The sequence below is a fragment of the Homo sapiens genome, chromosome 15 (assembly GCF_000001405.40).
Source record: "Homo sapiens chromosome 15, GRCh38.p14 Primary Assembly".
Lineage (NCBI taxonomy): Eukaryota > Metazoa > Chordata > Mammalia > Primates > Hominidae > Homo > Homo sapiens.
Genome location: NC_000015.10, coordinates 81,079,115 through 81,091,963, shown reverse-complemented (window position 1 = coordinate 81,091,963; position 12,849 = coordinate 81,079,115). Strand labels below are relative to the sequence as shown.

Here is a 12,849-nt window from a genome sequence, read left to right as displayed (position 1 = left end):
TTTTGAAGTATGGGCCATTCAGAAATATTTCTTTTTTTTTTTTATTATACTTTAAGTTTTAGGGTACATGTGCACAATGTGCAGGTTAGTTACATATATATACATGTGCCATGCTGGTGCGCTGCACCCACTAACTCGTCATCTAGCATTAGGTATATCTCCCGATGCTATCCCTCCCCCCTCCCCCCACCCCCCACCCCACAACAGTCCCCAGAGCGTGATATTCCCCTTCCTGTGTCCATGTGTTCTCATTGTTCAATTCCCACCTATGAGTGAGAATATGCGGTGTTTGGTTTTTTGTTCTTGCGATAGTTTACTGAGAATGATGATTTCCAATTTCATCCATGTCCCTACAAAGGACATGAACTCATCATTTTTTATGGCTGCATAGTATTCCATGGTGTATATGTGCCACATTTTCTTAATCCAGTCTATCATTGTTGGACATTTGGGTTGGTTCCAAGTCTTTGCTATTGTGAATAATGCCTCAATAAACATACGTGTGCATGTGTCTTTATAGCAGCATGATTTATAGTCCTTTGGGTATATACCCAGTAATGGGATGGCTGGGTCAAATGGTATTTCTAGTTCTAGATCCCTGAGGAATCGCCACACTGACTTCCACAATGGTTGAACTAGTTTACGGTCCCACCAACAGTGTAAAAGTGTTCCTATTTCTCCACATCCTCTCCAGCACCTGTTGTTTCCTGACTTTTTAATGATTGCCATTCTAACTGGTGTGAGATGGTATCTCATTGTGGTGTTGGTTTGCATTTCTCTGATGGCCAGTGATGGTGAGCATTTTTTCATGTGTTTTTTGGCTGCATAAATGTCTTCTTTTGAGAAGTGTCTGTTCATGTCCTTTGACCACTTTTTGATGGGGTTGTTTGTTTTTTTCTTGTAAATTTGTTTGAGTTCATTGTAGATTCTGGATATTAGCCCTTTGTCAGATGAGTAGGTTGCGAAAATTTTCTCCCATTCTGTCGGTTGGCTGTTCATTCTGATGGTAGTTTCTTTTGCTGTGCAGAAGCTCTTTAGTTTAATTAGATCCCATTTGTCAATTTTGGCTTTTGTTGCCATTGCTTTGCCATTCAGAAATATTTCTAAATAATTTCCCCTACTAATTCTATATCGTTAATGAGGTAAAATTTACACACAGTGGAATGCACAGATATCATGCATATAATTTAATGAATTTTGAAAAAGGTACCACCCCTATCAAGACAAAGAATACTTCCATCACCCCCAGAAAATGCCCCCATGTTTCCCTTTCTAGTCAATTTCCCAGTCCACCCCTTAGCCAACTGCAGTTCTAATTTTTATCAACATGGATTAGTTTTGCTGATTCTTAACTTCAAATAAATGGAATCATGGTATCTGGGAGGCGGACAGGATTCTAACCCTTAGCTTCTTGCAGGTCCTATGCCTGATGGTCCCAGTTACATTTCTCCTATCCAAGCCACTTCTTGCTGGACTGAGTGGGAAGAACTCTTAACTCTGGGGCTCCATCCCCTAAGCTCATGATGTGGAAAATTTAAAATGAGGCCACAGTGATCTCTGTTGCATTTTCAACTTAGAGGACATTCAATTTAGTTTTCTGCCATGAGCCAGGCTTATACTCCTGAGAGTTCTTTATTCCATCCTTCCAGATCTCCTGGAGCAAAGTCTGTGTACATTTTAGTTACTTAATAATGACTCTTCCTCCTTCAATTAACCTGAATGTTTTTTATTTCATTACAACGCAAGCCCATTTCTACATGTTTTCTCCCCAGTGAAGCTGTTGAACAATTGGTCAATAGTACAGTAATGCAATAAGAAATCTACTTATATTTCACCCTATGATCTCACTGGGCATAGATTTTCTGTATCCATTCTGAAGAATTTGGCATTGAACATAGGTTTGTGTTACAATTGCTACATACAAACTTGAATTTGAATTATAACTCTACCAGCAACTGGTCCTATTTTCGAGTCTTGTTATTGTCTGTCCTTGGCAATGCAGTTGTCCCCGGTGGAAAGCATGTGTGCATTAGTGAGCCACACCTCCTTGAGGGTGTCTCTCACCTGGGGTCAGCTGTGCACATAGCTCCCCTAAGTAGCCTTTGCCTAATCTTGCCTTTACCTCTCTTGCCTATACCTCATGTCATAGAACTCTCATCAAAGTGCTCAAGAGCTTCTTGAAGGACACATTGTTTCTATATCCCCAGCAGTAGCCATCACCATAAAGGCTGACTCAATAAAGATTAATAAATAAATTAATCAATAAACTATCTGGCTCAGTCTGGGGAAGAGTAAGAGATGGGTTCCTCAAAAGCATTGACTCCTTCCCATAACCAGGGGTGCTCCCTTCTTGGTCCCGAGCCAGTACAGATTCAGTACAAATCCATGACCAAGATCCTCCCTATCCTTAATAAATCTTGGTCCCAGGGTAAGGGGTAGAGAACCAGAGGGAAAAATGTCTACTAAATGTTTCCAGTGTCATTAAATGGCTGGCTATCCCAGACTTCCCCTCAACCCTCTCATCTCATCTGGGTGCCCACTTTTAGGGTAATTACAACTATGCTCTCCCCAAGTTCCCTTCTTATAACTCGTCTTTTTTCTCTGTCAGAGGCTTACTTTACGTACACAGTTCGTCAGACTGCACTTATTACAAAATAAAGGAATGCTCATTCCCTAAAAAAGGTCTTCCATTTTCTTCATTCTGTATTCGGTAACCACAATCCTATCCACAAAGCACACTATTTCATTAAACGCAAGTTTCACTGAGTTCTTAGGCTCCCAGCATATATGCTTACAGCCTACTTCATTGCCTTCAGTAAAAGAAAGACATTCTAGGGTATACGGGTTTTTGGGGGGCAGTGAGGCAGTTAGGCAGAGGTTCGGGGAAGAGTGATGATGGAAGTCGGAGGAACTCCTGCAAGGGCAGCCTGTAGGCTCATCAGTCTGGAGAGACCTGGACAATGCCTGGTAGGACACTAGTGAACTCAGAAAACAGCCCTTGCAGAGTGGCATGTAAGGGGTTAAGGCCATCCAGACTTGTTTATGGAGCAAACACTGTAGATCCCAGAGGGCAGGGAGAATAAAGTTGCTAGAAAGTGCATGTAAGTCTCTTTTCCTTGTCTTGTCTTGGCTGCCTCCATCCTGGAAGTCTGGCCCTGCATCACAAGAGTTCTTAAGTTATTCCATTAAGCACGTGATTTTTATCCACAAACAAATGTTTAGCCTCTTAGATTTTCTCTGCACTCAAAAGCCAAAATGAATACCATCCTTTGCATAAAAAACAGCTGACCTGGAGCCCCAGACCATATGAGGCAGAAACTCACACTCCCCACGCTCTGCCCTAGCAGCTGTGCCCCCACGGCCTCTGAAAACTTCCCCAGGCAGTATCAGCCATCCCATCGCACAGTGCTGCAGCAGACTACAAAACAGAACTAATAAGAAATATGCACGGGTTATAAATCATGGAATCAGAGCTAGAAGGGATGTTACAAACCTTCTGATCCAACTCTTACATTTTAAAGAAGAAGAACCTGAAGGAAAGCGATTTTCCTGGGTCATGTAGCAAACAAGCAGTGAGGTAGGCTCTGGGTTGATTTGACCCCAGCTATGAAGCCATCACTTTAAGCAACATGCCGTGATGATACCAGACATGTTTTGTGAACCTTTCTAGTTAACCTACAGAGATGAGTGAAGTCCTCTGGAAACTTACAGAAACAAAAAGCAGTTCTAGGGTATACAGGTTTTGGGGGGCCAGTGAGGCAGTTAGGCAGAGGTTCGGGGAAGAGTGATGGTGGAAATCAGAGCAACTCCTGCAAGGGCAGCCTGTAGACTCATCAGTGTGAAGAGACCTGGACAATGCCTAGTAGGACACTACTGAGCTCAGAAAACAGCCCTTACAGAGTGGCATGTAAGGGGTTAAGGCCGTCCAGAGTTGTTTATGGAGCAAACACTGTAGATCCCAGAGTGCAGGGAGAATAAAGTTGGAGAAAGGGCATGTGAGTGTGTCTGAATGTGTGAGCATGTGTGAAAGCATGTGCATGTGTGTGAAAGTATATGAGAATGCACCTGTGTGTGTGCATGTGTGTGTGTGTGGGTGCATGTGTATGTATGTGTTCCTGCATGCATGGGTGAGGGAGATCAGAAAGTGCAGGGGAAAGGAAAGAGTAAAGTGGGGAGAGCCCAGACAGCAGACACCCAAAGCATTTGGATTCTTTTTTCACTTTACCAAAAAACATAAACTCAACATGACACTAAAGAAAAAAAAAGCAAAAAGAAGTAGGGCACAGTGGCTCACGCCTGTAATCACAGCACTTTGGGAAACTGAGGCAGGTGGATCACTTGAGGTTAAAAGTTCAAGACCAGCCTGGCCAACATGGTGAAACCCTGTCTCTACTACAAATATAAAAAAAATAGCTGGGCATGGTGGAGTGCCTGTAGTCTCAGCTACTTGAGAGGCTGAGGCAGGAGAATCACTGGAACCCGGGAGGTGGAGGCTGCGGTGAGCCGAGATTGCGCCATTGTCTTCCAGCCTGGGCTACAGAGTAAGACTCGATCTCAGAAAGAAAACAAAAGCAAAAAGAAAACAAACTCTTAGTCCTATCATTTAGACATAACAACCATCGTATTCCCTTCTAGTCATTGCCCAAATGCAGACCTTTTTGTTTTGGCATGTTGTTGTCACCGTATGGGAAACATTTTGTAATGTGTTACCCAACATATTGTAAGCATTTTTTTCATGTTGATGAACTAACTGAAGGCTGAGACATCATCATTTTCTGAATGACTCCCTGATGGCTGGATATTTAAGCTGCCTCACAAATTTTACAAAGTAAAGCTGTAGTGAGGTTTGGAGCTTGTTTTTCTTATGAATTATTTGCTTAGGATAAATTCTCAGGAGTGTAGGTCAAGGGTCATGCACTATTTTTGGCTTTTGTTACGTATCATTAAAAGAATCAAACCCAAAAGAGTCCAGCCAATTATACTTCCACCTGCAGTGTGGAAAAGTGCTCACTTCATTAGAACTCTCTTCCATGATAAAACAAAACAAAACAAAACAAAACAAAACAAAACTATTTTAATGAGATCCTAAAACTCCTACATGCATGGAACTAGTTTGGCACCTTTATGACATCTTGTAGCACCAAAATACACAATAGACGACCAATAGCCAATCCAACCTTCTGATTCCTAAAGTTTAAACAAATTAAGAAACTGTCTTTAAGAGAAAGAATATAAAACCACCAACATATAATTATATAATTAGATATGAAAGGGATATTTTCAAATGAGAGAAAAAACTGAAACAAATCACAAATGTTTAGAAAGCCAGAAATGCCACAAATTTATAAATTGAAAAAATCTAATTTTTACTAATTAACTGCTTCTACAACCCTTTTTTCCTACATTTTTGGCTGCCTATTCATTGATCTCCTCACACACAATGACAGTTTTCAGTATCTTCTTCTGTAGCAAGAATAAAAAGCTAATTTAATCTTTCATCTGGCCTGGTGGATCAAAATTTGTTCATTACCATTTAATAAATTATAAAGGTTTCTTTTCATTTCACAACTTCGCATTAGTTCTATTGCATAGAGTTTTAGAATTATACAATCTGGAAAACCCTCAGTCAAATTTCTTTTGTATATGAGAGGAACTTGTCTTTGTCAGAGGAGGGTGTTTTATCAAACTTTTAAATCAGAATTTCTTTTCCCAATTGGGACAGATCACTGGAGTTTCTGTTACAGCTGCATGAGAAGATGATCTAAGCTGAGTCTGAATGTATTTCAAACCTTGTTTTTCCACCAGTACCCACATACTTCCTGCACTGGCTGCTGTGGGATGTGTACCTATGGGCTACAACCCCCGCCCTGCACCTTAGTGACAAGGTGGCACTGAGTCAGACAATGAATGGTAGGCGTGTTCCCAAAAACCATTCCTATAAAGGAATAGGGAACAATAACTTAACTCTACATGGAAGTGGCTGTGAATGACATAAATATATCCCATCAAACTCAAACTATTAGGTGGGTGCAAAAGTAATCGCGGTTTTCGCAATTACTTGAAATGGCAAAAACTGTGATTACTTTTCACCTAATAGATGTATTTCTAAGCCAATTTTACATCCTAAATATACCTGCAGCTGCTCTGACATCAACAGACACAAGCGGAAATTAACAGAGGGGAAGCCAGAGTGGATAGCAATGGTGGTCTTAATCAAATGTGATTTAAAATATGTATTGGTTCAAATTGTATAAAAACATAAGAACATGTGAACACATTATGAGGGCTCCTCCCCAGGGCCTTGGAAGGGGTCTGCATGGGGGAAGGCATCTGAGACCTAAGCTTCATTCTCTTCATCTGTGCATCACCCTGAATTCATTCCTGTATCACTTTGATAGAGTGAGAATTGTTCATTACCTTAATTGTATTAGGGTGTTGTGTGGGATTTTTTATTGCATCTAGAATTATGCTGAGGAAAAAATAGACTTTTGCATTCTGAATAATTATCATCCCCCTCCAGAGATGACTAAGAGGAAGCAGAGCCCATTACCACGTCTTCCCCTCTAGTCTCTGTATTAAGGAGATAAGGACTGGGGTGTGGTGGGGAGGAAATCTGGAGAGTCATTGGAATCGTAAGTCATAGAACTATTTGGGAAGTTCTGGGGGTTTTCTAACCCCCATACCAAATAATGGGTGGTCCAAGAGAACCCTTCATAGTGACTGGGTGGTTTGAAAGGAGGAGAACTAATGTCTCACTCTAAGTTGAGTGATTGTGCAGTGTAAGAGGTGTCATGCTTCCATGCCTAAAGCAGCCGGGGGAGAGAGAATTGAAGAAACAATCGCAGATGAAAAGCAGGGTAACAGGTGGCAGTTTAAATTCCCACTATTTGGAGAATCAAAGATATGTACATTTGTCCTAGAGTGGTGGGCACAATACAAGTAGCCAGGACCAAGCCTTCTTGCCACTATGCCACTCAAAAGCAATGGCCAGCAGGTGAGGGAACCGCAGCAAGGGGAAGCTCTAGACACCATCAAGGTGGAGCTGATAGGAGGTCAGGCCAGAACGCATCTCACATGCATCTCACACATAAGGGAACCGTGCAGATCAGAGGCTGCTTCTTCTTCTTCTTCTTTTTTTTTTTTTTTTTGAGAGAGAGTGCAGTGGCACCAATCTCAGCTCACTGCAGTCTCCACCTCCCTGGTTCAGGTGATACTCCTGCCTCAGCCTCCTGAGTAGCTGGGACTACGGGCACCCACCATCATACCCAGCTAATTTTTGTATTTTTAGTAGAGACAGTGTTTCACCATGTTGGCCAGGCTGGCCTCGAACTCCTGACTTCAGGTGATCCACCCGCCTCGGCCTCCCAAAGTGCTGGGATTACAGGCGTGAGCCACCGTGTCTGGCCAGAGGCTTCTTTCTAAAGGGCCTACTACAAGATACCCATGTGAGTCCCTCAGAGGGGCTGCCACTGAGCATCTGCTACCCAACGGCCGTGGTGGAAAAGCAGTAACCATCGACATAAAGAGCACCACAGTAGCACCAGCCCCCAACACAATGCAAAAGAGTGACCCGGGGGAGGGAGAGGAGGGAAAAGAGAAATCTAATCTCATCTGTCCCAGGTCCCGCAGGCCTAAGCCAGGTGGAGTGAGGAGGAAGAAAGTATTAAATTCAATATGATGATTTTTCAACCAAGGCTTCATTCAGATCTGCCCCAGATGCCACAAGGAAGAGGAATTGGGGATTTGTCATAGAACAGTTGAAGGCAAGGAGTAGAGATTTTTTAAAAAATGTCTCAACAACAAGTTCAGACTGTTCAACAAATTATTCATAAGTTGTAAGAATCAGGGAAAACAGATCAGGAGCTGCTGTGCAGCTAGAATCATCCTTCAAATGGGTTTCTCTGTTTTCTTCCACATCCCACAAATGTGCTGGCATGAAGTTGCCACTGGTATCCTTGGTCTAATGAATTTCCCAGTTAGTGGAAGAGTGTTTCTCTCCAAATCTCTGTTTTATTAATCAGAGTGATAGTCATGAAAAATAATGCTTAAGAAAATGTGTGCTTTTAACTTGTATGATATGTAAGCCTTCTGGGCATAAAGGCAAGCTCATGTTTACAATTGTTTTTCTACTTTGGGAATTCTCTTCGACCATCCAGCTAGCGAGAAGCCATATGGTCCAGTGAAAGGAACGTGGAACCAGGCACTGGTATGCCTGGGTTCCAGGCCCTACCCTGTGGGGAGTCAAGGGTAAACGTTCAGCTTTCTGGACCACATCTTCCTCAAAGAAAGTGTAAGACTTCTCCAGGGTGTTGAGATTAGCAAAAAGCAGGCCTAGGTCTCAAACCCAGGTCTTCTGACTCCAAAATGAGCACTGTGCATCTCTCTGAATTGTGTCTCTCTTTTTTTCCATTCGGTAGGATCTGAAGGATAGTGACACCATCTTGTCATATCTGCATCCCCAGTACCTGTCAATGTCCCTGGCATTGAGTAGAAGCCCAGAAAAGGTTAAGTGAATGAATACAAAAGCCATGTCTTTTGCAATCAATCAGAAACTGTGCGCATCAGCATTTTCTTAAGTGTCTCCCATGACACTGATTGATGAGCCCCACTGAATCTTCAAAATAAACATGAAATAAATGGAAGTAGAAAAAAGCAGAAAGTGAAGCATGCTGCCTGTCTCTCATGGTGTGGCTGACCAGGGATAGCAAGAGTATCATTGATAAAATGCACTCATCCACATGCCACGCTGTAGCCACTTGTCATAGGGAAGGAAAAATTTGCTTTAAAAGCTGGCTACATTTGACCCACTTTTGTTTGTTTGGTTGGTTGGTTAGTTGGTTTATCTATTTATTTTTCATTGTATTTTTTAAATTTATTTTTAGAGATGGAGATCTCACTATGGTGCCCAGGTTGGTCTTGAACTCTTGGGCTCAAGTGGTCCTCCTGTCTCAGACTCCCAAAGTGCTGAGATTACGGACGTAAGCCACCACGCCTAGCCTGTTTGTTTTTTAACGAGAAAATTATTCCTTTTCTGTTCATGAAAACATGTTGATGAGTCTTCTTAAGCTATAAAAGGTGAGCCTAAATAGAAAATGAGCTGCATAACATAGGAACAGGAATTTGGGGATTGTTCCCTTACAGAATAAGACGTAAGGAGCCGGGCATGGTGCCTGTAAAATCCCAGCACTTCGGTAGGCCGAGGCGGGCAGATTGCTTGAGCCCAGGCATTTGAGAACAGCCTGGGCAACACAGTGAGACCTCATCAACCTTGTCTCTACTAAAAATAAACAATTAGCCAGGTGTGGCAGTGTGCGCCTATGGTCCCAACTACTAGGGAAGCTGACACAGGAGGATCACTTGAGCCGGGAGGTCGAAGCTGCAGTGAGCCAAGATTGCACCACTGCACTCTAGCCTGGGCAACAGAGTGAGACCCTATGTAAAAAAAAAAAAAAAAAAAAAAGACGTAAGGACGGTGTGGTCTCCAAGCCTTGGAGAAGAGGAAAGATGGAGACATCTCTCCCAAGGAGAATAGAACCCAGCTACAAGGCTGTGATGTGCAATCTAGAAAGTACCTGGTGAAGAAGTGGTCCAGAGTGAAGGTAGGGCAGCAATTGCCTCTTCTGAGCTTCTGTGCATCAGCATTTTCTTAAGTGTCTCCCGTGACACTCATTGATGAGCCCATTGAATCTTCAAAATAAACATGAAATAAATGGAAGTAGAAAAAAAGCAGAAAGTGAAGCATGCTATCTGTCTGAGCTGTTTTCTAATTCCCCTCTATGATTCCTAATTCCTTAGTAAATGTCCCTTATCTGCACAAGTGTTATTGGTGCTTTGAGGATTTCAGGAAAAGGAACTGTACATACTGTTGATAAAGCAAATCAAAAATAGCAGCCATCACAATTCCCATTGCAGGAGGGTTGGCAAATGGAGAGATGAAAATGCACCAAGAGCAGGAATACAGAGTAAGAAGCAAACAAGAGAATACAAGTCCTCCCACTCCCTGCCCCAGGATCCTCTGAGACTTTTGAAGAGGCTGCTGGACTTCCCAGCATGTGAAGTAGATGAGTTCCAGCTATTTTATTTGACTATCCTAGCAGAGGTTGGTAGTACCCTTACCTTACCCACTTCAGTGAATAACACCTGCTGGTTTACAAATGCCAGGCCCTTCATTTTCTGGTTTGGGGCTTTCTCTTCTCACTGCAGCCTTTTTGATGACGATTGCAGTGGGATGGAAGAACAGGGGAATCAAAGCACAGCCTCCGCTTGCACCTCAGAGCAACCCTCAACCAATGACTGATGGGAGCCAGTATATAAATACCCCAGCTCCCTTGCCACTAATGAGGGGCCAACTCTGAGCTGTACTTTTACATTTGCTTCAGACATTTCCCTCTGGGTGAAGCTCTAGTCACTCTTGGTGACAGCTGGCTTGATAAAGCACCTTTAATTGGCTGCCTTCCCTCCCCAGTCTCACTACCCCCAACCCCTCTGTTCACTTCCCAAATAAAACATCTGCTTCAAATTCCTTGTCTCAAGATCTACTTCTGGTGGAACCCAAACTAAGACATATTACATGAAAGAGCAACTCTATGAAGCTGAAGAACTTGGGAACATTCAGATGACACCTGGGGAATCTGATGAAGCAGGAAATCCTTCTCAGACTCCATGTAAGCCTCAAACAGGATTCAGCATAACTTACATGTGTGAATGTTTCCATACTAGCGGCCCTTTCCATGCCCAAATGCAAATCTCTTTCCACTTGCAAATGACCTCAAGTGTTCTTTCTTGCGGGGTGAACCATCTGCTCTACTCCTAAAAAAATCCAATAGAAGAAGCCAGATGGAGTCCATGACATTTTTATTTGTGACAGTTTGACTACTGGCCAAAGGGATGGAAGAACAAGAATCACACAGCATGGCCATTTTCTATTCCTTGGGCACTTGAGAGCCTCCTCCATGCTCATCTCTGTCAATACAGAAGTTGGTCCCTACAAGGAGACCAGAAATGGTGGTGGGTAAAAGAAGAATGGGTTGGCTGCACCATGGATGAAAAGCTTCCTGAAGAGGGACCTTGTTGCCTTCTCATCTCAGCTTCTCTAATTTTTTTAACCACTTTTTTCTCTGTATCTTTCCAGGGCTACCCATGGTGACTCCTTTGTTTCTCTTCTCTCAGACTAAATCCAAATGACAGCCTCCCATCTCTTTAGTGCTCTCACTCCCTCCACATCAGCTCTTACCTCATACCTCAAGACCTCAGGCCCTTACAGCTTCCACCTGGCTGCACCCCCTTCCTTATACTGGTGGAGCCCCCTTCTCAGCCACACAACCCATTCTCTCATCAGCAACTTCTCGTGCCCATATCGGCACCAATTAAAGCATTTGCCATCTCTGCTCCTTCACCCTGGGATAAGCCGAGCTAGAGAAAAATCAGACAATTGTTCGGATCGGCATCCCTACATTTTATTCCTTACAACTTCTAGACCATATCTCTAAGCAGCCAAATTAACCTCCTAATCCCAGTTGACTTTCACTCGTATCATTTCTTATCTACTACTCCAGTGAATGTGTGTGTGTGTGTGTATGTATGTATGTGAATATGTGTGTATATGTGTGTGTGTATGTGTGTATAGTAGAGATGGGGTCTTGCTACATTGCCCAGACTGATATTGAACTCCTGGCCTCAAGTGATCCTTCCACCTTGGCCTCCCAAAGTGCTGGGATTGCAGGTATGAGTCACTACGCCCAGGTTGAATGTACTTTTTGAGGAACCTGGTGGTCCCTTTCTCCTTGTAATGCATGTTCCTGAGATCTAGATCTAGTTTAACCACTCACTAAGCAAGAAGGGTGACCTGTTATTCACTCATAGTCACTGCAGACGCCAAGAGACTCTTAGGGAGCCAATGAACCATAAGCAGAGGCTGGTGTGGATCCGTACATTTCATGCCAATGGTCTCCCCTGAAATAAATCAGAATATGCCTTAATCACTTGTCATCACTACCATGATGACAAGTGATTGAGGCATAGTCTGGGTCATGTCTTACCTTATATCTCTTACGGGGATAACTGGCTATTCAGCCTGATTCTGGAAAAAAGAAGTAAAAAGAAAACAGTCCCACTGAGAATTCATAACCACAAGTTTCCCCACAACATGCAGACCTCAGGTCAGAATTATATTATCTGCATGTCCAGAAAAACCTTAAGCCAAACTATTTTTTTTTTTTAATTTGAGATGGAGTCTCGCTCCGTTGCCCAGGCTAGAGTGCACTGGCACGATCTCGGCTCACTGCACCCTCTGCCTCCTGGGTTCAAGCGATTCTCCCACCTCAGCCTCCCAAGTAGCTGGAATTACAGGCATCCACCACCATGCCTGGCTAATTTTTTGTATGTTTAGTAGAGACAGAGTTTTGCCGTGTTGGCCAGGCTGGTCTCGAACACCTGACTTCAGGTGATCCACCCGCCTTGCCCTCCCAAAGTGCTGGGATACAGGCATGAGCCACTGTGCTCGGCCCCTAAATCAAACATTTAAAGTGATTTTTTTTTTTTAAATTTCAACTTTTATTTTAGATACAGGGGCACATGTGTAGGATTGTTAAATGGGTATGTTGGGCCCAGGTAGTGAGCATAGTACCCAATAGGTAGTTTTTCTTTCTTTTTTTTTCTTTCTTTATTTTACTTTAAGTTCTAGGGAACATGTGCACAACGCACAGGTTTGTTACATATGTATATATGTGCCATGTTGGTGTGCTCCACCCATTAACTCGTCGTTTACAATAGGTATATCTCCTAATGCTATCCCTCTCCCCTCTCCCCTCCCCCCACCCCATGACAGGCCCTGGTGTGTGATGTTCCCCA

The 12,849-nt window shown here is 43.1% G+C and overlaps 1 long non-coding RNA gene across 1 annotated transcript; it reads right to left on the bottom strand.

Annotated features, from left to right (window-relative positions):
• Positions 1–9,473: 9,473 nt before the first annotated feature.
• On the bottom strand, positions 9,474–12,257 carry LOC124903540 (uncharacterized). Its single transcript, XR_007064734.1, has 3 exons — positions 11,829–12,257; positions 10,697–10,809; positions 9,474–9,687 (listed from the first exon to the last, which is right to left on the bottom strand). It is a non-coding gene; the product is annotated as an uncharacterized LOC124903540 (long non-coding RNA).
• Positions 12,258–12,849: the final 592 nt, after the last annotated feature.